This window comes from Homo sapiens, chromosome 3 (genome assembly GCF_000001405.40).
Source record: "Homo sapiens chromosome 3, GRCh38.p14 Primary Assembly".
In the NCBI taxonomy this organism is placed as follows: Eukaryota; Metazoa; Chordata; class Mammalia; order Primates; family Hominidae; genus Homo; species Homo sapiens.
The window spans coordinates 85,388,796-85,415,298 of NC_000003.12; the positions used below are offsets into that span (position 1 = coordinate 85,388,796).

The window sequence follows — 26,503 nt, forward strand, 5'->3', positions numbered from 1 at the left end:
CAGAAAAATCATATTCATCCATCTGGTTTATTTTTGAAAGGTATGAAGTAATTTTTCCCCTGTACACATTATGATATCTAAGATGTGTTAGATAGATCTTACAGAAAGTTACCATCTAAAAAACAAAATATATTTTAATGAAAGCACTTAATCTAGACCATCTGGGGGTATTGGATAAATGGAAATTCCGAAATCCTCTCTCCTATGATCGGAGAGAGCTAGGGTTTCCAGGACATTGTGGGTATCTTATTGGGTTATATTTAAAACAAAGTCTGTACATTCACCCTTATTTAAAGTAACGTTTTGTGATGCCTTCTCCTGGGCATATGTCACTTATGTGCATTTCTATGGCGCCATAGAGTAATTGAATAGAATGGTCACTCAAAAGTAGTTCTAGAAGGCCCACTTTGCACCCACAATTTTGCTTAGTGAAGTACTCTTAAATCAAAAGGAAGTAAAAGGGGATGCTGGTGAGTATAATTGTACCAAAAATATTATGCCATAAATAGTGTAACAAGTAGTATGGAAAATGCTGAACAGCATTGAGTAATTAAATAATTGTCTTCATTTTAAAGGAGACTAGCAGTTGCAGAAAATATGAGGAAAACATGACATTGGAGTTACAAGACATCTAGGAAGTGGCCCGTATAGCTGTTGATAATGAGCTAGCTAATTTATTATGTTATTTTTCTGTATCTATTCTACATAATACATTTCTCTCTGTATTCTGTGTTAAATATTTGATATATACCATATAATGTGTATTCAAATTCAAGTCCCAATCTCTCTGATCAAAAGAGACTATCTGTACCACTCATGTCCTTCTTTTGCCGAGTTCTTTATAGTTACTAGAGACATTTCCTATATTTTCTGATTCTCCTTAACTTTTCCAGTAGTTTTCCTTTTTCTTATTTATGATTTTTTTGTATTATAAAACTTCTAGATCCCATGTAATGTGTGTGCAATCAAATGGAAAAACAATGGATTGCCTTCTGAATTTCAAGGCCAGGTATGCAGCACTGACTATTCATTTGATATTTGCAAAGTACGTTGACAATAAATGCTTAATGTGTTATTTCTACTCTTCCTATTTAATGATTTTCTGAAGAGAATTGTTGATAAAAGGGCAAGTAAATGTTAAAAATGTATGCATATTTTACAATTCTTGTAGAGTAAAAGAACAAGTCAGCATCCTAATTTCATGAAGCCACAATCGGCATAGTAAATCAAACTAGTGAATATACATATAAGAAGGAATAAAAGAATTATATAAATATGAAAAACACAATAAAAAACAAATTATAATGGTTTGGCTTATACATTTGTTCATCCAGATAATATTTATATAATGAATTTCTAATGGGAGACCTCATGCTAGATTCTGAGGATTTAAAAAAATAAGTTAAAACATAGTTCTTTGTTTTTCCATGGAGAAAGAATTAACTCTCCCTGACTGAGGCTTCAGTTCCATTTCAAAAAGACATAACCTTTAAAATCATTGGTTAACTCTTTGTCAATGTCCCTAACTTACTTAATCAATTGCACTTCAATCGTGGTTCTTCCTGATTGTTTGCTTACTTTTTTCCAAGGTATTGAAGTGTAAAATCACACATTTCTGTCTTCATTGATGCTGCTATATATCTATATCTCAGCTTGGCCAAAACTTTCTCTGAACTCTGCTACAGTCTAACACTCTTGCTATGTAACTCTCCTTCCTTATCCTTCTAGGTGTAGGAGGTCAGGCCTGTATCCAATGTCTATTCCTGTTTTCTCCTCTTTATACTTCACAAGCGTTTCCTCTAATATTTTCCTCTAGGTTTAATCCTGTTTTGGGATCTGACTCTTGAAGAACCAAAATTAACCAAATCTTCATCCTGAAAAGTGAACAAATATAAAATGCATTTCAGTTCATAGCCAACACATAAATAATCTCTGCTCTACTGCCTACTCCCTCTTTTTCTCAAGTCTCAACTAGCTTCAAAATAATTTTTAAAAAGTCAGCCTCCTCAGCTCTGTGAATTCCTGTACATGCCAGTCTCCTCCATTTACAGCCGAATTGTAAAGATTAACTTTTACTTAAAAACCTCAAGTTCAGTGTTGCTATATCCCTGGGGCAGCTACTCACTTGTATTCATGTGATGGTAGGAAGAAGGTGAAGAAAGATACTCCAGAGAGCTAAATGCATATATTCCTAGGTGCATCTAGACACCTAGGAATAATCTGGTTTAATTTGTTTTAATGTACAGTTGAACAAGGCTAGGAGAAGATCCAGAGGCTATACTTCATTAGTATGTGCTGATTACCTCCAATGAAGTACTTATACCCACCTGAGTTTGCCAGTCGTTTACTTCTTCTTTCCAATAGATTGGGAGTTTCTAAAGGATACATTGGGTCTATTGTATCTGTAATTCTAGATCTTAATGCATTGATAAAGAGTTCAATTAATACTAGTTGAAAGAAATAAAAGACTAAAACAGAAAGACGGAAAAAAGGAAGCACAGAAGTATAGTTTTGTGATAAAAAGAGGACATAGAAGAATGCTAAAGAGTGATAGTTCCAAAGGAGATATAAAGATAAGATTTTTCAGTGGAAGAGGTTATAGATGTTTAAGGGTAAATAGAGAAGATTTTCTGGTGGAAACAGAACTTAACCCAAATTTTGTCGGAATAGTAAGACTGCTATAAAGGATACACAAGATGGAAGGCTCTTCAGGCAAGGCAGAGACCGAAGACTCATATGTAAATTGCAAACTTAAAAACAACAATAGCAACAATAGTCAAGACCTGACACAACAGAAGAATTATATTGTGCAATACAAATCTTTGTTTTGATAAGGATACTAAAATTATCTTGGCCAAAGTGCCAACCAAGCAAGCAGTACCAGCAGGGGAGCATAACCATTTCATATTCTTAGATACAGATTTGTTATTTGTCTGTTTATTTATTTTCTCTGAAAAGGTGATCTACTCAGACGGTTTAGAACCTGCATATGCATGGGGCAGGTGGATGATAATCTCTCCCTAACCATTTGGATTAGCTGAATCAACACGGATATTCAAAAGACTGAAGAGGTTGTGGCCAGATCACTTTCAAATAGAATTCTACAATGTTCAAAAGAATTCCCTTCACTGTGAATTTGAGAAAAGACAAAACAGTCTCTGTTTGTACACTTGCAAATGACAGAAAAGCTGTTACAAGCTTCCTGTCATATTTTGAAAGAGTGTTAGCATTGGGAGAGAAGAAAATTTGGGGATGTGAAGGAAAAATTCTCTTGGTAGAACAGAAATAATATTTTCAAAATCACTTAAGAAAGATAAAATAATAAAGATGCCAGGACTTTGAAATTACATTTCTAAATATTTGGTATGCTTGAGAACAGTGAGTTAGATTGCTAGAATCTTGCCTTGCTACATCTCAATATTAAAGTATGAGAAAAAAATCAAAGAAATCCCTTTCACTAATATTGATGTTCTTACACCTGATATAACTTAAATATTTTTCCTAGTAGATGTTGACTTGAGGCTTTTCTATCAATGCAGCCACATAACTGTGTTGTTACACAGGCTATAGAAACTAACAGATTATTATAATTATTATTGATTATTAATTTATAGTGAGCCCTCAAAAATACCAATATCTTAGTTTGTTCTTGGAGTCTACAAAATAAATTTAATTTGTTTTCTATATGACAGTGTTTAAATATTTCAAGAGAGTATGTGCCATCTAAGTCTTTTCTTCTTTAGGCAGAACATACATCCTCCTAATTCTAATAACACTTGAATTGATAACCTTCTATTTATTATTAGATTTTTAAAGCAGCACTCCCAGCCCCTTCAAGTTAAAACAATTCTCCAGGTAAATTCTGGTCAATACAGTATAAAAAGTAAAGTTCTTTTTCTGGACTCAAAATTCTATAAACTCTTTATGGACAGCTTGATTTTGTAATGAGCTTAATAAACTTAGAAAATCCATTTAAATCCTATACTTAATAAATAAAACAAAGCAAAACATGAATTGCTGTTCAGCTAGCTTTTCCTCACCTGTACATTTGTAATGATATTTTTCTCATCCACATGGAGGCCTTCATATTTATTCTTACTATCATTTTTAATTTTCTTTTTCTGTGTTGTATACTAAAACACATCTGAACAATGATTCCTTGCCCTATTTAGTGAATTGGAAGCAAATACAGTTTTCATCAACTTGTACAGCTGAATTCCATGAACAATTTCAGGGATGCAGTTTGCAGGATTAGTTGAAGAAGAGAAAACCTGGAGGCAAAAGTAAACTCTTTAAAAAAAAAAAAAAGAAAAGAAAAATTCCTAGGATAAATGATAGTTGTAAGAAAGACAATAACAAGACAATGGAACTGTAAAGAGCTAATAAAAATCAGTGATTTACTAGCTGTATACAGTAAGTCAAAAAGTGACTCATGTTTTGAGTTTAGGTGTTCAGAACTTGATGGTAAATTTGGCGCACATAATGATGTCCAAAGGGAAAGGTGGTCCGGGAGAAGGATGATGATCTTGACTTAGATATATTAATTTGGAAGTGATGGTGGTACAAACAATTAGAAATTCCCAAAGCACATGTCAATGATGGGAGAAAGCTGTTCTGAACTGCAGAATGGAGGTGAATGTTGAAAGTAGATATTGATAGTCATCCAAGCAGGAATAATTGCTGAAGCTCTAAGAAGGGCTCAGAATTTTCTGAGACATAAATTATCTTAAAGTTATAAGCTCTGGGATTCCAGAAGTTGTATACAGCCTAGGGAGAAAAATCATAAGGAAGCTTTATCAAACTGCATGGAAGAGGTGGCATATTAGAAAGAGATTTATTGATACAGAACAGAAAATATTGAACTTGTCTTTAAAGTGCTTCTTTTAATGGAGCCCTCTGATACTAACCTTGTAAGATTCGAGATAGATCGTAACCCCTTTTGTGCGTAAATCTCCATTAAGATTTTTTTTAATAACGACATATTTGCTCTTATTTATTATCAAAATATATTATTGTTTTTAAAACTTTGTCTTAAAGAAGTGAAATATATTATGAGGCTTCTTAAATTTGGCATTAATTTTAAAAGTTACTCGCTCCGCCTCCCAGTTTCACGCCATTCTCCTGCCTCAGCCTCCCGAGTAGCTGGGACTACAGGCGCCCGTCACCACGCCTCGCTAATTTTTTGTATTTTTAGTAGAGACGGGGTAGCCAGGAAGCTCTCGATCTCCTGACCTCGTGATCCACCCGCCTCGGCCTCCCAAAGTGCTGGGATTACAGGCGTAAGCCACCGCGCCTGGCCTGAAATAGTTACTTTTAAGATGCATAGCCGAAAACTGTGTTTTTAAAAAACAGTTAAATTATTAGTTTACAAATAATTTTTTTAATTTGAATTATCTCGGTTATTCTTTTATAGTTGATATATCTTCCATAAACTATACATTCCAGAGGTATAAATTACTACATTTTTGAGTTTTCCATTGACATTAATATTATTACCATAATAAATGCATAATTAAAATAAAATGAACAATTCCAAACCACTAAATTATGGGCTCCTGTTTCCATAATAAGGTATGATATGAAAACTTATGCATTATATTTCACAGGTAATATTTTAAAGATTACCCAGTAAATGTTTGTATTATTGGAGCAGGGTTAAAAATAACCTTAGAATTTTCTGATCTCATTTTATTTAGTTTTACATGTAAATAATTCATTTTCAATTGTAAAAGCAATAACTCCTCTTATCTAGCTAGAGCTGTGCTTTTTTTAAAAAAAGCTTTCAGTTGTGACTCAATGTTAAATAATCTGTGTAAAGTTAACTGGACTTATTGTACTCATATAACCGTGGCTTATTTTATAGCCAGTTCACATTTTTGTATTCTCTTCCTTGGACTTCATTTATCATGATTTAGATATTTATCAGATCATTCTTTATAAGCTATTCATTGTGTCAAAGTAAAGAAGGAGTTCTGAGAAAAGTCTGTAGGGTATTATTGCTGTTCAATTATTTTATATTTTCTCATCCCTGTTTCTGCTTTAAAGATGCTTAGTGCATCCAAAATGTAGAATTATAAAAATGTGTCTCTCATGCAAAGACAAAAATATATTCTCCAGTGATATGTTTACATTTATTGATCTTCACAAAACTTTTCCCATAGTTTTCTCCTAAAATATCGTAACATTTAATGTATGATACTTAACAAATTCAGGAAAATAAGCAGTTTTTTGTAATATTTTTTAATAATGAAATCTTATTGCTGGGAAACACAACAACCCAAATAACGAATGCACGCCTGGGATACATAGGGAGACCCCATCTCTAAAAAAAAAATAAAGCAATAAAGATAAATTTAGCCAGGTGTATTGGTGCATACCTGTGGGCCCAGCTACTTGGGAGGCTGAGGCTGGAGGATCACATGAGCCTGGGAGGCTGAGGCTGAAGTGAGCTGTGATCATGCCACTGCACTTCAGCCTGGGCAATAGAGAAAGACTCCATACAAAAAAAAAAAAAAAAAAAAGGAAAGAAAAAGAAGGGGTATATGTATAGAAAAACATAAGACATTGGCTACCTCTTAGAGCATTATAAAATACTTAAATCTAATGTAACATTATTACTTTAAAATCAATTGAATTTAATACAGACTTAGACAGAAAAAAATTTATTGAAACTCAAAATGAATGTTTCTGGCTGCCGTCTAACAAATATAAATGAAACGATACCAGCATTAAAATACACTAAAGATGAGATTGACTTTGTTTCATATGAAATTGTTTGCTACTCCAAAAAGGTTGTAGATTTTCTTCAGAAGAATAAAAACATGGGAATATATAAACTGTTCATTAGACCCAGTCTGCTTATGAGATCAGCATTTCATATATCATCTTGAAAAAGCCCCTTGTGGCTAACATTCTCAAAAGAAAATAAGAAATCAATATGAAGTTTATATAATTTAAGAGTCACAAATTACACATCAGTGATTGAAGTGAATTCTTGAGAACTTTTAGAATTATGTCTAATAGTTATTCAAGATTGGATGTTGTATGCAACTTTAAAAATCACACCCATGTTTTAATTACTGTCTTCCGAGGATAATAAATGTTAATATTAAGTTATTTTATAAATAATGATAATTATAAAATATTATAATTTATATTATATTTAAATTATCATAATGATAATTTATAAAATAAATATGCAATTATATTTTCAGTATTGATTCTGAATATTATATTTAATTATCATAATGATAATTTATAAAATAAATATGCAATTATATTTTCAGTATTGATTCTGAAGAAAGTCTAATGTTTCAAAATAAATTTTCCTTACCCGACTGAAGATGTAACAATTTTTGTGTGTAATTGGAGATTTTAAATATTTAACTGTTCATTTATTTCATCGGTAAATGTAGATTAGTGAAGCTGTAAAGTTTTCTTGCTTGCTGCTTGTGATCTTAGTTTTTTTCTTGGCCAATTAGATGTCATTATTCATATATAATTATTTTTTCACTTTATCATCTTAGCATTTACTGTGGAAAGATGAGAAATAACTGGAGCCCCTTTTTCATGATAAAATGATCATCAACTTCATAACTTAGTTTTATTATTTCCTATGAGACTGGCAATGACTCTTATCTTATTGGTAAATATAATTGCTTAAATAAATATATTTTTCTTTACACTATATTTTAAATTATTGCAGCAACAAATCCTGCAAATCTAGATTTTGTGGTAATCCAATACCTACAAAATTATACGCTATGCAGTCTGTAGAAATATGGATAGATGATTTTTTGCATTACTCATTATTTTTCAAGACTTTAAACATGTCTTTGATATTTAATGTTGAAAATAATAAGCCAATGGCAAAAGGACAGTCTGTTCAATAAATATTACTAGGAATTTTGGACATTCCACATGCAAAAAATATAGTAGGGCTCATTTAATACCACATACAAAAATTAATTTAAAATGGATCAAATACCTAAACAAAAGAGTTATAAGCTTAAAACTTTTAGAAGAAAATTTTCATGACATTGGATTTGCGAATGATTGCTTAGACATGACACCTAAAAGCAAAGGCAACAACAACAAAAAATTAGATAAATTGGTCTTCATCAAAATTAAGGACTTTTGTTTATCAAAACTTAACTATAAGCAGAATGAAAGTACAACCAAGGGAATGAGAGAAAATATTTGCACAGCAAATATCTGACAAGAGATTAATATACAAAATATATTTTAAAAACTCCTACAACACAACAACAACAATACAACCAAATTCAAAAATGGGAAAAAGACTTTAAAGACATTTCTGTAAAGAAGATAAACAAGTGGCCAGTAAACACAAAAAAGATGCCCAATATCACTAGCCATTAGTAAATTTGTAAGTCAAAATTAGAAGTGAGATATCACTTCATACATTAAGAAGGCTATTATATAAAAGGAAATAGAAAATACCAAGTTATTATAAGGATGAGGACAAGTTGAAATCTGTGCATCACTGTGGAACAGAAGCTTTGTAATTCCTCAAAGAGCTAAGCCTAGTAGAATTATTATATGATCCAGAATTATGTATGTGATTATATACAACCCAAAAGAATTGAGGAGATGGTCAGACACTTGTACACCTATGTTCATAGCAGGATTGTTCACAATAGTCCAAAGATGGAAATAACGAAAATACCCATCAACAGATTAATGGATAAGCAAAGCGTGCTTATATAATACAGTGGAATATTATTCAGCCTTAAAAAGGAATGGAGTTCTGACACATGTTACAACAAGGAGGAAACTTGAAACTATTATGCTAAGTGAAATAAGCCAGACATGCAAAGACAAATATTGTATGAATCACTTACATGAGTTATCTAGAATAAACACATTCATACAGACACAAAACAGAATAGAGACTATTGAAGGCTGAGGGGGAGGGGTATTGATTAGTTATGGTTTATTGGGTACAGAGTTTCTATTGGGGATGATGGAATAAGTTCTGAAAATGGATAGTGGTGATGGTTTCACAACAGGTGAATATGTTTCATGACACTTAGAAATGGTTAAAATGATAAATTTTTGTGATTTTAAATATTTTACCACAATTAAAAAGCAAACAAAAGTCTATTTTCAAAACTTAGACTGCATATGTTAGTAGCCAGATTCCTGCCAGAGGAGAAATAGGGTGACATCCAGAAGCCTTTTTCTTTTTCTTTTTTTTTTAATTATACTTTAAGTTCTAGGTTACATGTGCACAACGTGCAGGTTAGTTACATATGTATACATGTGCCATGTTGGTGTGCTGCACCCATTAACTCATCATTTAACATTAGGTATATCTCCTAATGCTTTCCCTCCCCCCTTCCCCCACCCCATGACAGGCTCCAGTGTGTGATGTTCCCCTTCCTGTGTCCAGGGGCTCTCATTGTTCGATTCCCACCTATGAGTGAGAACTTGCAGTGTTTGGTTTTTTGTCCTTGTGATAGTTTGCTGACAATGATGGTTTCCAGCTTCATCCATGTCCCTACAAAGGACATGAAACCATCCTTTTTATGGCTGCATAGTTTTCCATGGTGTATATGTGTCACATTTTCTTAATCCAGTCTGTCATTGATGGACATTTGGGTTGGTTCCAAGTCTTTGTTATTGTGAATAGTGCCGCAATAAACATACATGTGCATGTGTCTTTATAGCAGCATGATTTATAATCCTTTGGGTATATACCCAGTAATGGAATGGCTGAGTCAAATGGTATTTCTAGTTCTAGATACCTGAGGAATCACCACACTGTCTTCCCCAATGGTTGAACTAGTGTACAGTCCCACCAACAGTGTAAAAGTGTTCCTATTTCTCCACATCCTCTCCAGCACCTGTTGTTTCCTGACATTTTAATGATCGCCATTGTAACTGGTGTGAGATGGCATCTAATTGTGGTTTTGATTTGCATTTCTCTGATGGCCAGTGATGATGAGCATTTTTTAATGTGTCTGTTGGCTGCATAAATGTCTCCTTTTGAGAAGTGTCTGTTCATATCCTTTGCCCAGTTGTTGAGGGGGTTGTTTTTTTCTTCTAAATATGTTTGAGTTCTTTGTAGATTCTGGATAGTAGCCCTTTGTCAGATGAGTAGATTGCAAAAATTTTCTCCCATTCTGTAGACTGCCTGTTCACTCTCATGCTAGTTTCTTTTGCTGGCCAGAAGCTCTTTAGTTTAATTAGATCCCATTTGTCAATTCTGGCTTTTGTTGCCACTGCTTTTGGTGTTTTAGACATGAAGTCTTTGCCCATGCCTATGTCCTGAATGGTATTGCCTAGGTTTTCTTCTAGGGTTTTTATGGTTTTAGGTCTAACATTTAAGTTGAATTAATTTTTGTATAAGGTGTAAGGAAGGGATCCACTTTCAGCTTTCTACATATGGCTAGGCAGTTTCCCAGCACCATTTATTAAATAGGGAATCCTTTCCCCATTGCTTGTTTTTGTCAGGTTTGTCAAAGAGCAGATGGTTGTAGATGTGTGGTATTATTTCTGAGGGCTCTGTTCTGTTCCATTGGTCTATATCTCTTTTTTCGTACCAGTACCATGCTGTAGCCTTTTAGTATAGTTTGAAGTCAGGTAGTGTGATGCCTCCAGCTTTGTTCTTTTGGCTTAGGATTCTCTTGGCAATGCGGGCTCTTTTTTGGTTCCATATGAACTTTAAAGTAGTTTTTTCCAATTCTGTGAAGAAAGTCATTGGTAGCTTGATGGGGATGGCATTGAATCTATAACATACCTTGGGCAGTATGGCCATTTTCATGAATTGATTCTTCCTATCCATGAGCATGGAATGTTCTTCCATTTGTATGTGTCCTCTTTTATTTCGTTGAGCAGTGGTTTGTAGTTCTCCTTGAAGAGGTCCTTCACATCTCTTGTAAGTTGGATTCCTAGATATTTTATTCTCTTTGAAGGAATTGTGAATGGGAGTTCACTCATGATTTGGCTCTCTGTTATTGGTGTATAAGAATGCTTGTGATTTTTGCACATTGATTTTGTATCCTGAGACTTTTCTGAAGCTGCTTATCAGCTTAAGGAGATTTTGGGCTGAGACGATGGGGTTTTCTAAATATACAATCATGTCATCTGCAAACAGGGACAATTTGACTTCCTGTTTTCCTAATTGAATACCCTTTATTTCTTTCTCCTGCCTGATTCACTATGTTGAATAGGAGTGGTGAGCGAGGGCATCCCTGTCTTGTGCCAGTTTTCAAAGGCAATGCTTCCATTTTTTGCCCATTCAGTATGATATTGGCTGTGGGCTCGTCATAGGTAGCTCTCATTATTTTGAGATACGTCCCATCAATACCTAATTTATTGAGAGTTTTTAGCATGAAGCGTTGTTGAGTTTTGTCAAAGGCCTTTTCTGCATCTATTGAGATAATCATGTGGTTTTTGTCTTTGGTTCTGTTTATATGCTGGATTACATTTATTGATTTGCATATGTTGAACCAGCCTTGCATCCCAGGGACGAAGCCCACTTGATCATGGTGGATAAGCTCTTTAATGTGCTGCTGGATTTTGTTTGCCAGTATTTTACTGAGGATTTTTGCATCAATGTTCATCAGGGATATTGGTCTAAAATTCTCTTTTTTTGTTGTGTTTCTGCCAGGCTTTGGTATCAGGATGATACTGGCCTCATAAAATGAGTTAGGGAGCATTTCCTCTTTTTCTATTGATTGGAGTAGTTTCAGAAGGAATGGTACCAGCTCCTCTTTTTACCTCTGGTAGAATTCGGCTGTGAATCCATCTGGTCCTGGACTTTTTTTGGTTGGTAGGCTATTAATTATTGCCTCAATTTCAGAGCCTGTTATTGGTCTATTTAGGGATTCAACTTCTTCCTGGTTTATTCTTGGGAGGGTGTATGTGTCCAGGAATGTATCAGTTTCTTCTAGTTTCTAGTTTATTTGTGTAGAGGTGTTTATATTATTCTCTGATGGTAATTTCAGGGACAAGACGCAGGCGGAGGGTTTCCTTGGAGCAGTGAGTCCTTAATGCTGATCTCACTTTCCAGGGCAGCCATGGCTTCTTCAGCACTTCTCTTTTGTGTCATCAACCCCTGACATCCTTACCTCAACTCCTCCTTTAGTTGTGAATCAGTTGTGTTGTATTTCTGTCATCTGACACTAAAGAATCCTGACCAAAATCCCCTCCCGGCTGCTGCCTCCAACCCACAACAGTGGCTCAATGCTTTACTTTCAGAAACAGGTTATGAACTTCGACATGATGATTTCCTTTTGAAAAACAGATGCATTTTAAACAACAACAATAACAAACAACTATCCTTCTGAGCCTTTGGCTCCTCCTCTCACCACTAAGCTGGACCAGAAGCTCTGTTTACCACACTCATGGGGGGACCTGCAGCTTGAGCCACAGCCCCGTTCAGGATCCGTGGACTGGCCTCAGCTAATGGTTCTTTTATTTTTCTCACTGGTAAAAGTACTGGTGTTGAGTCACTCATGGCAGTGTCTTAGTAGACGGTCACGGATCCTCTCAGCCTCTGTCTGCCAGAGAGATACTAGAAGCAAGATTCAGTTTAAAGAAATAAAAGGTGGCAAGTTTAGGCAACAGAAGGATGGCTTTCTCCTCAAGAATCACTGTTCTGCAGATGGCTTGGTGGGTGGGAGACCCATCCCAGCGGAAACTTGGTTGGCATGTGGTGAAGATGGAGGGGCCACAGGAGGAAAGGAGCAGGGGTCACTGTGTCACCCCTAGAGGAAAGTCGCATCTATCCAAGGACACTTAGATTGAAGGAGGACATTCTGGATGCCCAGAAAATCCATGCCATTTTAAGAACTTGCTAGTTTCAATCGATTTTCCCTCATTTCTTCCTATTGAAATCTGGGTCTCTTAGTTTACACATTTGGAGGGACCCTGTAGTCCTCTCTCCTGCCTGCCAACATTGACCAGACACAAAGGAAAGAGGGGACCTTTACCACCACCTCTCCCACCCCCGCCAAAAGTAGCTGAGTTAAGCTGGGATTTGGGGCTTAGTGTCAGGAGCACAGGTATGTTTACTCAAATTTCACACCTGCCAAACACAGAACAGTCACAACCACTGCAAGATGTTTGCCTGTGTTTTCTCTATTTAAGAGATATTTGGATTTTTCTTTTTATAGTTTAACTGCCGTTATTTCACTAATGCTACAATTATTCTTATTGAAGTTTGATAGTGGTATATTACCTAAAATAGTATTGTTCAAATGTAGATTTACTATAATTCATAGAAATACGTTATTTCTACATTTTTGGATCTTTTATAATTAGTATAAATATCATGTTTTCATTTAAATAAAAGTTTCATTAATACTTAAACCATGATTAATGTTTTACATAGATTTAAAACAATAAAGACCATTTCTGTGAAGAATACTAACAGAAAAGCAAAAGAGAAACTACAAGACCTTAACAAAAACAAAGATCTGTTTAGATATTTATACTCTACATTAGAAACCATAATAGTATTTTTTTAGTAGGTAGATTTTTTTAAATATATAAGTTCTATTATAAGATAATATTTAAGTTATACATAATTCCTTCTATATAGCTACACTAGCATTGGAAAGGACATCAAACTCAGTAAGTTTGCTCACATATATTTATTAGTTACATCCTGTATAAATTTTTGTCTTAGTTTTTTTTGTTTATTTTACTCTGTAGAATGTATTGTTCTCCATATTTTATTTTGTGTAGGTCGCAAAAGAATATTTTTCTCAATAAAATCTTGAAGCACCTAATATAAAAAAAAATCCATCAATTTGTTATTAAGTGTATGAACTACAGAGACTGACCAAAGCAGTGAGAAAGAATGTCAGAACAAACTGTGACTCTGCAATTTGAGTCTGGGAGGTCACCAGAGGTCCTCCTCAAGACCAATTCATTTTAAAATGCACAGTCTTTGAAGTAATACCTCTTGATGCCAATGCCTGTGTTAGAAGCTATAATCAAAAACTGTAAATCTTTTTGTCACCATGAATTTTATAAAGCAATCAATCTCAATCCCTCAGGACAAGAACTTTGGGGAAAAAATTGTGTTTCTCCCATCTGGAAAGACTAGTAAATCATTTTCAAATTGATATCTTGTGTGATGTTAATATAGATATAGATATACAGTCCATCTATTTTGAAAATGTAATGAATAATTTAATGATTTGCTAGGAACCGTATTTTCAGCATCATTATTGCCTCACGGTAAACATACCTGAAAGGTTAGGGTGAAGCTATTCTCCTTTAAGATGTATTTGCTAGGTATTAATAGTATTTTTGTTTGATTTTTGGAAGTATTAAGGTTTAAGAAAAAATGAATGAAATTTTCTTAAAAATTTAATCTTTAAAACATATTCTGGAGACCCACTAGAATTTAACTATCCCTCTCATGATGATTTCGTATTGTTCAAATTGTTTTCATGTGGATGAAGCGACATTGTATTCTTTAAATTTTAAGTATGTAGTTCTTTACTGCACACCAAACCGAAATTGAGTAAAAAAGTGCATTGAACTAATATTTCAGTGGCATCCTCACATGTTAGTGTTCACATTCTCTTTCTCAAGGGCATTTCTTGCACTTATGTTAGTACCTAATTCCTTCATAATTAATACCGTATGCTTGTATATGTGTTCATTTTTTCTTGTAACATGTTTATGGAAAACAAACAAACAAAAAAGTAACTTGGTCTTCAGAGTCAGTGATTATGTCCTCTGAAATGCAGTTAGCCTTTAATGTTATACAGAGACATGCATGGTGAGATCTTGCTCTTAATAAGGCAGATCTGGTCTTCACCACCACCACAGCAAATGTGCTCAAGGCATTTTTATGAATGCAACTAGTTCAGGTATTATTAGAGCATTCAACTCATATACTTGAATTTATTTCTATTGTTGACATATAAACATAATATGGGTTTTTAGATTTCAAACTTCCAGAAGATTATAAGTAAGCAAAGTATTTCTCTCATAAGTTCATCCAGCACAATATTCAAAGCTGTCATATGTGTTTAGCTGAAGAGTGCTGAGGACAATGGCTATGTTGGTATGACATGTTAAAAATGCATTGAATTAAAGAAAATCAGAAGTATTGTACTTTTTGCCAAATCCTGTAACTGAATCATATATTGTGAACAAGCTGATCAGATATTCAAAAACTGGCTTGTACCAGTTGAGATAAAAAGAAAAACTTGGAATTTTACATGGTTTATATATATTATATGTAGATATATGACATACATATTTAAAATGTAGATACAAGTAGCCAAATTAACAAAAATTACACAAATTGCACCTTATCTCATTGTGTTAGTTTTAAATTATTTTATTTAGCTTATAAGCTTGAATTTGCCTTGGAATGTTAGAATTTGGAAAGATTAAAAATTTATTGCCAAAATTGTACAATGCAGACCATCATCCCACCACCTCACTTTTTTTCTCCTTTCATTCACCATAGCATTCCTTCACTTTGTGAGATGACTTTGTGCCCTTGGGACCTAATGACAACTTTAATGATTGTTTACAGCTTGTGTATTGTGTATGTGTTTATGTACATTTGATTGATTTTCCGCATAAAAAATAGTCAAATGAAAGGATGATTGGGTATTTTAATGAACTGAGACTCCAGAAAAAAAAGTCAAATAAAAAGAGCTGTTAGGAAGAATATTTTCATAGCCTATGGTGGAAAACATATTCAATGCTTTTGAGAATTAAGTATTTATTTTTGTTGAGTGTTTATTTGATTTTCTCCAGCTAGCTATTAATTTCAGGAAAAATAATCAATCTATGTAAGACAATCCTAACGGAAGGTAATCTTTTAATTCTATTTTGCAGTTCAACTGCTTGAGTTAAATATGTTTAAAATATAGAAGTATTGATAAATGTGGGGATATCTGTTAGAATAGGATGTATGATGGCTTGGTCTTCATATTATCCTGAGGTTTTACTAATGCAATATTTATAAATGTAAAAAATTTCCTGTCAGGTGCAAATAGTGTTTGCTTACTTTGAATAGCATCTTAATTAAAATTCACGTGTTTTAAAGTTTGTTACTTCCAAAATCAAAGTGGGGAAAATTGATTTGACCAAAACAAATAATAAAGTGATGAAAAGAGTTTAGCAGTTTAGATAGACCTTCCTATTTTACAGTTATATTCATGGTAGATATATTGGATGTGTTAAAAATATACTTCAGATATGACAAGTTAATAGAAAGCAGGAGTGATTTTAAGAAGTCACTAACTGTTGGATAAATCATTAGTGCAAATGTTCAGAAATTTCCAGTATTTAAATGCATAATACTGTGAAGAACTTGAGAAAAAGTTAGCTATTTGGGGTAAATGTTGCCTTGCTTACCCTGAAAGGCCTATTTGGATATATTTACATATTACTATACTTAGAAAATCCTTAACTATGATTTACTCAAAATCTCTGTATCCTAGAACAGTTTTGATGGCCTGACCTAGCATTATTGATTGATAATAGTACAAATAGCAATTTAATTGAGTCATTACCCTGTTTCTAACAATGTGCTAATAGGTTTATATCATTATCTTATTTTATCCTTACCATAGCTATTATCCCCACACTGCAGGAGAGATTGAGAGCCAGAGATTGGAAGTAACCATTCATGGCGCCCGTCAGTGGCGGAAAAACAACTTGAACTCATTAGTCAAGCCAAACCCTAAGCTCTCTGTGATACTGCTCCTCTGACTCAGAATCCTTAACAAATTCAAGGATCTATTTTTGTGATCAAGGTTGCCCTCACTCAAAAGTAATTCAAAGATTTATTTTTGAGATCAACGTTGACCTCACTCAAAAGTAAAGATGAAAGTAGCGTTCCTATAGAAATTAAAAAGCCTTGATTCCGAGCAAGGATTTCTTAAAAGCTCCTAGTTTTTTTTTAAATTTTAATTTTATTTTAAGTTTTGGAGTACACGTGCAGGATGTGCAGGTTTGTCACATAGGTAAACATGTGCCATAGTGGTTTAAAATCTCCTGAATTTTTAAATAGAAAGAGATTCTACATTCCTGACTTCCAATAATATATGATTATTATTAGAATAATATATTCTAACACCAGCCTGTGTGACAGCGTGAGACCCTGTCACAAAAATAAAATAAATAAAATAAAATAAAAAGTAAATAAAAGTAGACATAGATATATGCGTGCATATATATGGAACACTGTAAAATATATAAAGCATTATATATAGAGAAAAATTTTCAGGCCTTCATAAGTAATTTAACTATAAATGGATTATAAAAATCACTTTCAAAAACATCTTTAAAATATTTGGTTTTAGAGACCAACCAATAGACAATTTCGTATTTCACTAAATATATTAAACTCTATTACTGTATTGATTATAAAAATGAAGCATATTTGGATTACATCTTCTCAATTCCTCTATGAAGTTATTTTACTATTTCATTATTTCCTTTGCATTGGAGAAGAGATAATACCAGGAATTCGTTTGAAGAATACTTACTAAAAATCTGAAACTTTCACTGAGAAGATACTATATTTTTACACATCACAAATATTTTTTGAAAAAAATTCTATAAAATTACAGAGCCGTTGCTATACATTTTGAGGTTTACTTAATGCAACAATAAATATTTAATATAGTATGAAAGTTTTTAAATCTTAACTCTGGGAAAACTCAAAACCAAATTTAATATTTAGCTGTAATTATAATCCTTGCTGTACGTGTTTGTATTACTCTTCGCTAAACCTCAGAACCATACACTGTTTAATGTATTAATTGCTTAGTTGAGTTCTCTCTATGTCTAAGATTCAACTCAGGATCTTCTCTTCCAAATCTGATCTTCCTCCAATATTCTCTGCGTTAGTAAAATGGAACTACCCTCTCCACCTCTTGACGTCATTCTTGACACCTCTTTGTTTTTCATACTCGGTCACAAAACTTGCCAATTTCACCTCTTGAATATTGTTCGCTTGTTTTCACTTTTTTTTTCTTTCCAGAGCTACCACCTCTTGACTGCTGCTTACCTGTCATACCACAGTATTTCTATGCCACTTTTTGTCATCTTCAATTTACTTTCTACATAGAAGACATTATTTGAAGAATTAAAGACAAAATACGACCAGGGTACAGTGGTCATGCCCGTAATTGCCTCACTTTGGAAGGCGGAGGTGGGAGGATCCCTTCAGCCCAGGAGTTCAAGACCAGCCTGGGCAGCATAGGGAGACCTTGTTCCTACAAAAAATAAAAATAAAAAAATTAAACAGGTGTGGTGGTGCATGTGTTTGATGCCAGCTACTGGAAAGTCTAAGGTGGGAGGATCTCTTGAACCTGGGAAGTCCAGGCTGCAGTGAGCTGTGATCACGCCACTGCACTCCAGCCTTGGTGACAGAGAAAGACCCTGACTCAAAAGCAAAATAAAATGAGATTATGTCATGCCCTCAGTTAGAGCTATTCAAGGATTTCTTGGTTTAAGAATATAGAGCCAAATTAATATGTCCCCTGAGCTCTGTAAAATTTGGCACCCTCCTGTCCTTACAGGCTGGGTTTTGTCATTCTCTTCTTCATTGCCCATACCCTATTTACCTTGGCTTTATTTTGGATTTTTGTAGATACCTCGTTTCTTTTCTCTCAGAACTTTTACACAACCGCTTCTACCATTTTGAAATATCCCCCTAACCTCTCACTCACCTTTTACTATTAAACCCTTCTTCAGCTTTCAAAATTAAGCCAAAGCACAATTTCCTAAAAACAACTCTGTTCCCTTTACCAAATCATTTCTGCATGACTTTTTGCTCCGAAGGAAAGTTAATGGGTCATGATGTTTAAGTAGTTTCTAGAAAGAAATTTAGCAGCAGTGGTACCTCTTCCACAAACTGAAGATTGTGAAGAATTAATGAGTAATAAGGCTGGGAGCAGGGGCTCACAACTGTAATCTCAGCACTTTGAGAGGCTGACTTAGGAAGATTGCTTGAGGCCAGGAGTTCTAGATGAGCTTGGTCAACATAGTGAGACCCTGATTCTACAAAAATGAAAAACAAAACAAAGCAAACAAACAAACAAAAACTAGCCTGGCATGATGGTGTGTGCCTGCAGTCCTAGCTACTTGGGAGGCTGAGGTGGAAGGATTGCTTGATTGTGCTTGAGCCTGGAAGCCCCAGACTGCAGTGAGCAATAGGGCAAGACCCTGCCTCTTTAAACAAAACAAAACAAAACCAAAAAAAAAAAAAAAAAAAAGAAGAAGAAGAAAAAAACGGACTTAATCAGCAATAATTTTATTTAAAAAATAAGATACTAGAATTGAAGTGTGAAACTGAAATATTGAAGTATAGATAGCAAGAAAAGATTGTGCTTTGGAAAATTTTGAGGTAAAGGCAAGAGTGGATAATAGTTCAGCAATATTTTCTTCCAGATGAATGAGACAACACATTTCTAAAGAGAATGGAAGGATTCAGCGCAGTAAATGTAGGTATGTGTGGACTTACATGTACATAGAAGAAAAGACTAAAAAATAAGTGTCCAATTTGATGAATAGTAAATGCATAGGAACTTCAACATAAAAGCCAGGTAGGTAATAATTGACGATGACTAGTCTAATTCTGGAATGGATGAAAAATTAATTTTTTTGAAACTCTGGGTATCTTGCATGAACCAGTTGTTCTAAAACTTCAGAATTTGTTAAGTTTTGATGTTGCAAAAGCAGAAGGAGTGAAATTGCGTAGCAACTACCATACAAACTATAGAGATATGTTCTATTTTTTGCCACCCAATGAGTTAGATTTCCCACAATTCCTAGTGTCAAAAATGTAAACACATAACTGCTATCTAAGTGACAGAGATATCCCTCTTATTCTGAGCAGTGCACTAAAGTCGGAGATGCTCTCTCTGCAGCGGGGGTTAGGCCTTCTTTTGTATCTTAAGGACATGTGCTTTTTCTTTTTAATTTTCCCTCACATCTGAAGGAGCAAACATATTTGAAAACTCCTTGAAGAAGTACCATTTTCACTTAGATGCCACCATAGTCTTATTTGGAGAAGTAAAAAATACAATAATCTTTCCATAAAGTTTACAAATAAACAAGGGCAAAATATTAAAGCCAATGTGTCACTTTCTCTTATAAACTAACACACAGTTTGTGGCTTAATCTAAAAAAAAACTACATTATGGCAATTTAATGTTTGCAAGCTCTCCAGAAGTCCTTTTGACATTTTAAGACAAATATTTCACTACATTCTCAGTAGTGAAATACTTCACTTCATTGTGGTTTACTTACATTTATGCCAGAGTCATGCCAAATGAATCCAGTGTTCTTCTAGCGTTTGGGAGACTTTAGTGTAAATGCATCCTTAAACATTATTCCAGATTTTCAACTCATTTCCATTTTAAACCTATCTCTTCTTTCCTTTTTTGTGTATTATGTGCTGATTTTTCTCATACAGCTCATTCCAATGTACTTGCCTTTTTGTGTAATTTGTGTATACACTAAATCCCAAATGCTCTTTATCATCTTCCAAAAGAAGAGTATAGCTAATATTATGAGATTATATTTAGGGAAATTGAGAAAATAAAATGGGAATTTTTCTGGTCAGCATCATATTAAGTACTGAAATCAAATAAAGGGATATTTGAGTTGAGTCTTAAGGAATACTAAGAAGTTTGCCAGTTGACTAAGGGTAAAAATGCAGAGATATGGTCAGGGGCCATGTTGTGAAGAGCTTTCTGTGCTATACCAGGAAATTCAAATTTTATATTGCCACAGATAATGAATCACCAAGGACATCAAATAGAAAGTCATATGATCCAACGTGAATTTTAAAGGGCTAATTTTGAAAGCGTACTGGAGGAGGATAATAGCAAGGGAAGGGAATGGAGGCAGGAGACCTGTTAGTAGACTGCTGTCTTAACTTGGATTAAAGATGATAAAGTCACTTTTAATGAAGGCACTAAAATTGAATGAAGACGTATTTATAACATTGAATTGATTGAACCCTGTCACTAGATGTGAAAGATGTAAGTATAGCAGAAGTTAGATGGCCCCAAATTTTCTACCTGAAACAACTATATTTCAGGAAAAAAACTCAAAATCAAGAATGGATGGTAGGTTTGAAAGTACAAAAATCTGTTAATATTGACATCTGGTTTCATTTCCTGAACAGATTTACATTCAAATTCTGCCTTACTGACAACTCTTGAGTATTCTCTATAGTTATACCTTTTCTGCTTCCTGCCTGATGATTCCTTCTCTTTGCATCCTCCCTGGTTAATCATTAGTTCTTGATACATAAAGGAAGAAAGGAATACAGGCTGCCAAGTTTGGTCCAGCGGTTAGAAAATGTAGAACAGAGCTATTTCAATTTATTCTCTCATTTCAAATCCTAGTTAAAATAATTCCTTATATAAGTGTTTGTATTCATATGCATATCGCCACTAAGGCATATCATATCCCAAGACTTGTGAATTTTAATTCTTATTGCATGACTTTTAGAGAATGTTTATGCCAGAGTCATGCTAAACTAATCTAGTGTTCCTCTAGCATTAGGGAGACTATTAGGTAAATTCACTCTTGAGCATTATACCAGATTATCAACTCATTTCCATTTTAAACCTATCTCTCCTTTTCCTTTTTTGTATATTACGTGCTGATTTTTCTCGTGCAGCTCATTCAGACCATATTTGCCATTTGTGTGTAATTTGTATAGGCACTAAGATCTATCTCTTCTATAATTTGATATTTTCTACTGTAATTGTGGATTTTTTAAAAAGGATTTGGCTTTAAAATAGAAAGAATTGGATTAAACAAGCTAGTAAAATTACATGAGGTCTGAGTTTTGCCGAAACAGTTAAAAAGAGTTAAACTCCTTTTAGAGCAGAATACTTTAAGCTACAACAAGTTATTGGCTAAAGGCAATTTGGAGTGAAAAGAGGAAACAAAATGTTTTAGGGACACTGAAGTGCATCACCACTGAAAGCTCTTTGTAGGTGATAGTGAAAGAAAATAAATAAGTGTGCAGGAGAATTATAATGATTCTGCTGAAAAAGAGTCTAAATTAGGTAGAAAAAGAAAGAGGCACAACCACAATGGATGGACAGCCTCAAACAAGAGATCCAGTGACCTATGTGAGGACTGGTGGAACGGTTTACTTCTAATGGTAGACAAAATTGGGTAGGCCAATAACCCGATTAACAACATCCTATTCAAAGGATGCAAAGGTGTCATTTTCCAATAGAAAGAATAAGTATTTAAGCCATACTTTGACTAGTGCACTCTGAAGTACAAAAATGCATTCTGTCTTTGAAAATGTGTTACTGTAGGTTATATATAGAGTTTGACGTGGTACGATGAAGACATGCTGTTGTAAACTGATCTATTGTGTGGTGGCTGATAGAGTGAAAAAGCAATATGACTTCAGAAAAGAGGTTACTCTAGGGGTCTTATTAGAGTATATAAAGGCTTAGGAAGCTAACACAGGACTAGAGAAAGATGGATTTGTACTGAGCTGCAGTAGCATTCATGAACATGACTGAAAATCCCAACAAACCTTGTGCACTTCACCTGCTGAGTTAAATGTTAATAAAAATTTCAAATCTTATAACTTTTATAGTGCTAGTACCATTTTAAATGAAGATTAATGAAAGTTCAGTATACTTTAGTTTATTAATTAATTGATTAAAAATACACCCATTTAAATAAGTGGGATGATTCTTTACGGAGAAAGTGATTACCAAATCGTGGATTAGTATTAAAATATCTTTGATAAAAATGTCACAGATTTCCCTACTGAACAGCGTAACAATCATAGTTTATACCAAACCCAAATGTTGGTAAATGACTAGGAACTGGTTTTCTGAAGGGTAGAGGAGGCTCTAATTTGTTGGATTACCCAGTTTCCATGGTTTAAAAACACCACCAAGGTTTATTTCAAGCTAACAAATTGACCTTACGAAAGACAGAGTTGAGAAGTTATGCAAAATGGGATCTGAGGAGTTTGTTATGCCACCAAATTTAGATTAAAAGCATCATTTCATGAACGATGTCATATCATAATTTTGTTTTATTTTTTTGAGATGGGGTCTCAATCTTTCACCCAAGCTGGAGTGATCTCAGCTCACTGCAACCTCTGCCTCCCAGGTTCAAGCTATCCTTCTGCCTCAACCTCCCAAGTCACTGTGATTACACCCATATGCCACCATGCCCAGCTATTTTTTATATTTTCAGTAGAGACCAGGTTTAGCCATGTTGGCCAGACTGGTCTTGAACTCCTGACCTCAAGTGATCTGCCCACACTTTAGCGGACCAAAGTTATGGGATTAAAGGAGTGAGCCAACATGCCGGGCCCACATCATAATTTCTTTGAAAAGCCTTACACATATATAGAATTTGAATCAGAATAATGTTATTGGAAATGTGGATCATGGGTAATTTTCTTGATATGTATTGAATCTCAATTTACTTACCTCTCAAATGGATTACTGTAAAAAGTATAGGAGATAATGCCTGGGACAATATCTATAAATAGTATTTCACTATTTCTAATGTGTTTTCTTATAATAATTAGTTCTATTGCCAAATAAGTGAAAATTGACAATATATAGTAACTTAACTGTAGAAATTTACAATTACAGTTTTTTGGGACAGAAGGTCACCAATAAAAGCTGTAAGGTGAATTCTCTTGATGGCATATGACCAGTTTGTATTTATGCCAAAACCAAAACTAAGGTATCCTAGGTCCTATGTAATTCGTTTTTTTTTTTTTCTGTATCATGCTTTTGCATTACCAACTAATAGAAAAGTCATGGTTACATCAACTGGATACATACAGCCTCTAATAAAGGGACAAGTGGAGCGCTAATAAAGATTAGGAGTATCCTTTGCTACAAAATTATCATCCTATTGAAAATAAAACAAAAAGAATAATGCACAATTTTAAAAATGGGATTAATAGAAAGTAAGAAACTTGCTTAAGGTAACATAGTACAGAAAACTAGCAAAATGCATCACACTACAATTATGTATAATTTGAAAATATGTAGTCATGGGCTTTAGGACAGTTATGAATTTTCCTTATTAAAATGCTGATTTTAAAAATAGCCATTTGAGAAGTCATTGGGAGGCCGAGGCGGGCGGATCACGAGGTCAGGAGATCTAGACCATCCTGGCTAACACGGAGAAACCCTGTCTCTACTAAAAACACAAAAAATTAGCCAGGCGAGGTGGCGGGCGCCTGTAGTCCCAGCTATGCGGGAGGCTGAGGCAGGAGAATGGTGTGAACCCGGAAGGCGGAGCTTGCAGTGAGCCGAGATCGCACCACTGCACTCCAGCCTGGGCGACAGCAAGACTCCGTCTCAAAAAAAAAAAAAAAAAAAAAAAAATAATAATAATAATAATAATAATACACTGGAAGCTTTCTGACCCAGTACAAATTTTCTTCACAGTTTATTAACAATAACAATTCACTTTTTTCAGTACACATATACATTATATAGGTACACATTCAGAAACAAACATATTTTCCTTTGTGCATATCACTAAAATGAAGAAAAGTACACCTGAAAGGAAATAAAGTGGGCAAAAATAGTGAAAGCATTGGTAGAGGGGCTTCCATTTGATGCATACATGTTGATATATGTACTGATCTCTTCTCATACTGCTATAAAGAAATACCTGAAACTGGGTAATCTATAAGAAAAGAGGTTTATTTGGCTCATGGTTCTGCAGGCTGCAGAAGAAGCATAGTGGCTTCTGAGAAGGCCTCAGGAAACTTACAATCATGGCAGAAGGGGAAGGGGAAGCAGGAACGTCTACAAGGGCTGAGAACGAGAAAGAGAGGGCGGCAGGGAGCCACATACTTTTAAACAGTCGGATCTTGTGAGTACTCACACACTATCACAAGAGCAGCACAGGGGGAAATCCACCCTCACGATCCAATCACCTTCCACCAAGCCCCACCTCCAATATTGGGGATTACAATTTGACATAAATTTGGGTGGGGACACAGATGTAAACAGTATCAGTATAGAAACACAATACTGTGTCTCACAGCTTTAAGTGCTAGCTAGAAAACTGGCTAGCTATTTTAATTTTTTTTTTTGAGACAGAGTCTCGCTGTGTTGCCCAGGCTGCAGTGCAGTGGTGGGATCTGGGCCCACTGCAACCTCTGCCTCCAGGGTTCAAGCGATTCTTCTTCCTCAGCCTCCTGAGTAGCTGGGATTATAGGCCTGTGCCACCACGCTCAGCTAATTTTTGTGTTTTTAGTAAATACAAGGTTTCACCATGTTGGTCAGGCTGGTCTCAAACTCCTGACCTTGTAATCCACCCGCCTCAGTCTCCCAAAGTGCTGGGATTACAAGGGTGCACCACCATGCCCGGCCTGATGAATTAATTTATTTGTGACATTAATGTGTGATCATAGCTGATCAAACACTGTTCTTTACGATATCTCTTCTGTTTATAATTCCTCAGTTAATTAACAAAATCGTCTTTAACAAAACCAAAGACTCCGAAAAGAGACAATAATAAGCAAAACTAGACTGCAGAAATTTATGTAAATCTTTCATAAGGAAGAAAAAAATAATCGAGAGAAATAACATTTTAGAAACATGTAGTGTGTCCTTTAAATGGTCATAGCAAGTATGTAGTTTTGACATGCACAGTAAAATATTTATTATTAGTGGAACTGGAGTTTGTGGGTGGAAGCACCAACTTCATTTTAGGTTTCCTTTCCTCTCTCTCTCTTTCAACCAATACAAGTTGATTTTTTTTAAACATTTATTTTATTTTTCTATCTAAATGATTAGTGTTCAATCCCCCAGTTTCAGTTTTTTTCTGCTGGCTAAGCAATCCAGGGGAAACTTTCAATTTAAATTCTTATCAAGGAATTTTTAAGCTGATTATTCTAATAAGCACTTTACCAGCTCCCCCAAGGATTTTTGCAACCACCTCAAGCTTTTTACATTTCCATTCAAACTTTACTTTACATTGACTGACATATCTTGGAAATTTCTGAAACTTCCCTCTTTCTGCCTATGTGTTATGCGGGAAGGGGTGGAGTGAAAATGTTATTTCTCCTTCAAACATAAAGTATCTAGTTTATATATGAGAGACTTTTGACTCTTCAGCTGAAATTCTTATTATTAGCCTGAAAAATTATGGTAAATTGTTCATAGGATTTTTAGTTTAAAAAAGTAAATCACGCAAAATGGAAAGAAACTTTTAAAGTGCAAATGCCTCCGTCATGTGACCAGGAAGTTTGGTATGAAAAATAATTCTAAAGAAGCTTATTCTAAACCGCTGAGACTTTGCTATATAAAGTGTTGCCTCCACTATAATGCTTGTATTTAACTGTATATATGTAAATAATTTGCTTAAACTTTGTATCTTCAGAAAATACAGAAAGACATATTTGGCACAAAATATTTAATAAGCATTTACTTATGAATTCTAAGACTATAGTTCTCAAATTTCGTGGACTTAAGAATTGCCCCTAGTTGGTTTAAATATATTTCCG

General features: G+C 34.4%; 1 protein-coding gene across 11 annotated transcripts in view, besides 1 other annotated feature; it reads left to right on the forward strand.

Moving 5' to 3' along the window:
- The window catches only part of CADM2 (cell adhesion molecule 2), a 1,115,441-nt gene that overhangs the window by 429,807 nt on the left and 659,131 nt on the right, over positions 1-26,503 (forward strand). The window lies entirely within an intron of this gene.
- Positions 5,217-5,448: a silencer, noted in NCBI's record as "fragment chr3:85443162-85443393 (GRCh37/hg19 assembly coordinates)". NCBI's record gives its function as "represses an EF-1alpha promoter that drives an FKBP-Casp9 reporter gene in an ReSE screen in K562 erythroleukemia cells {active_cell/tissue: K562}" and the evidence as "EXISTENCE:reporter gene assay evidence [ECO:0000049][PMID:32094911]".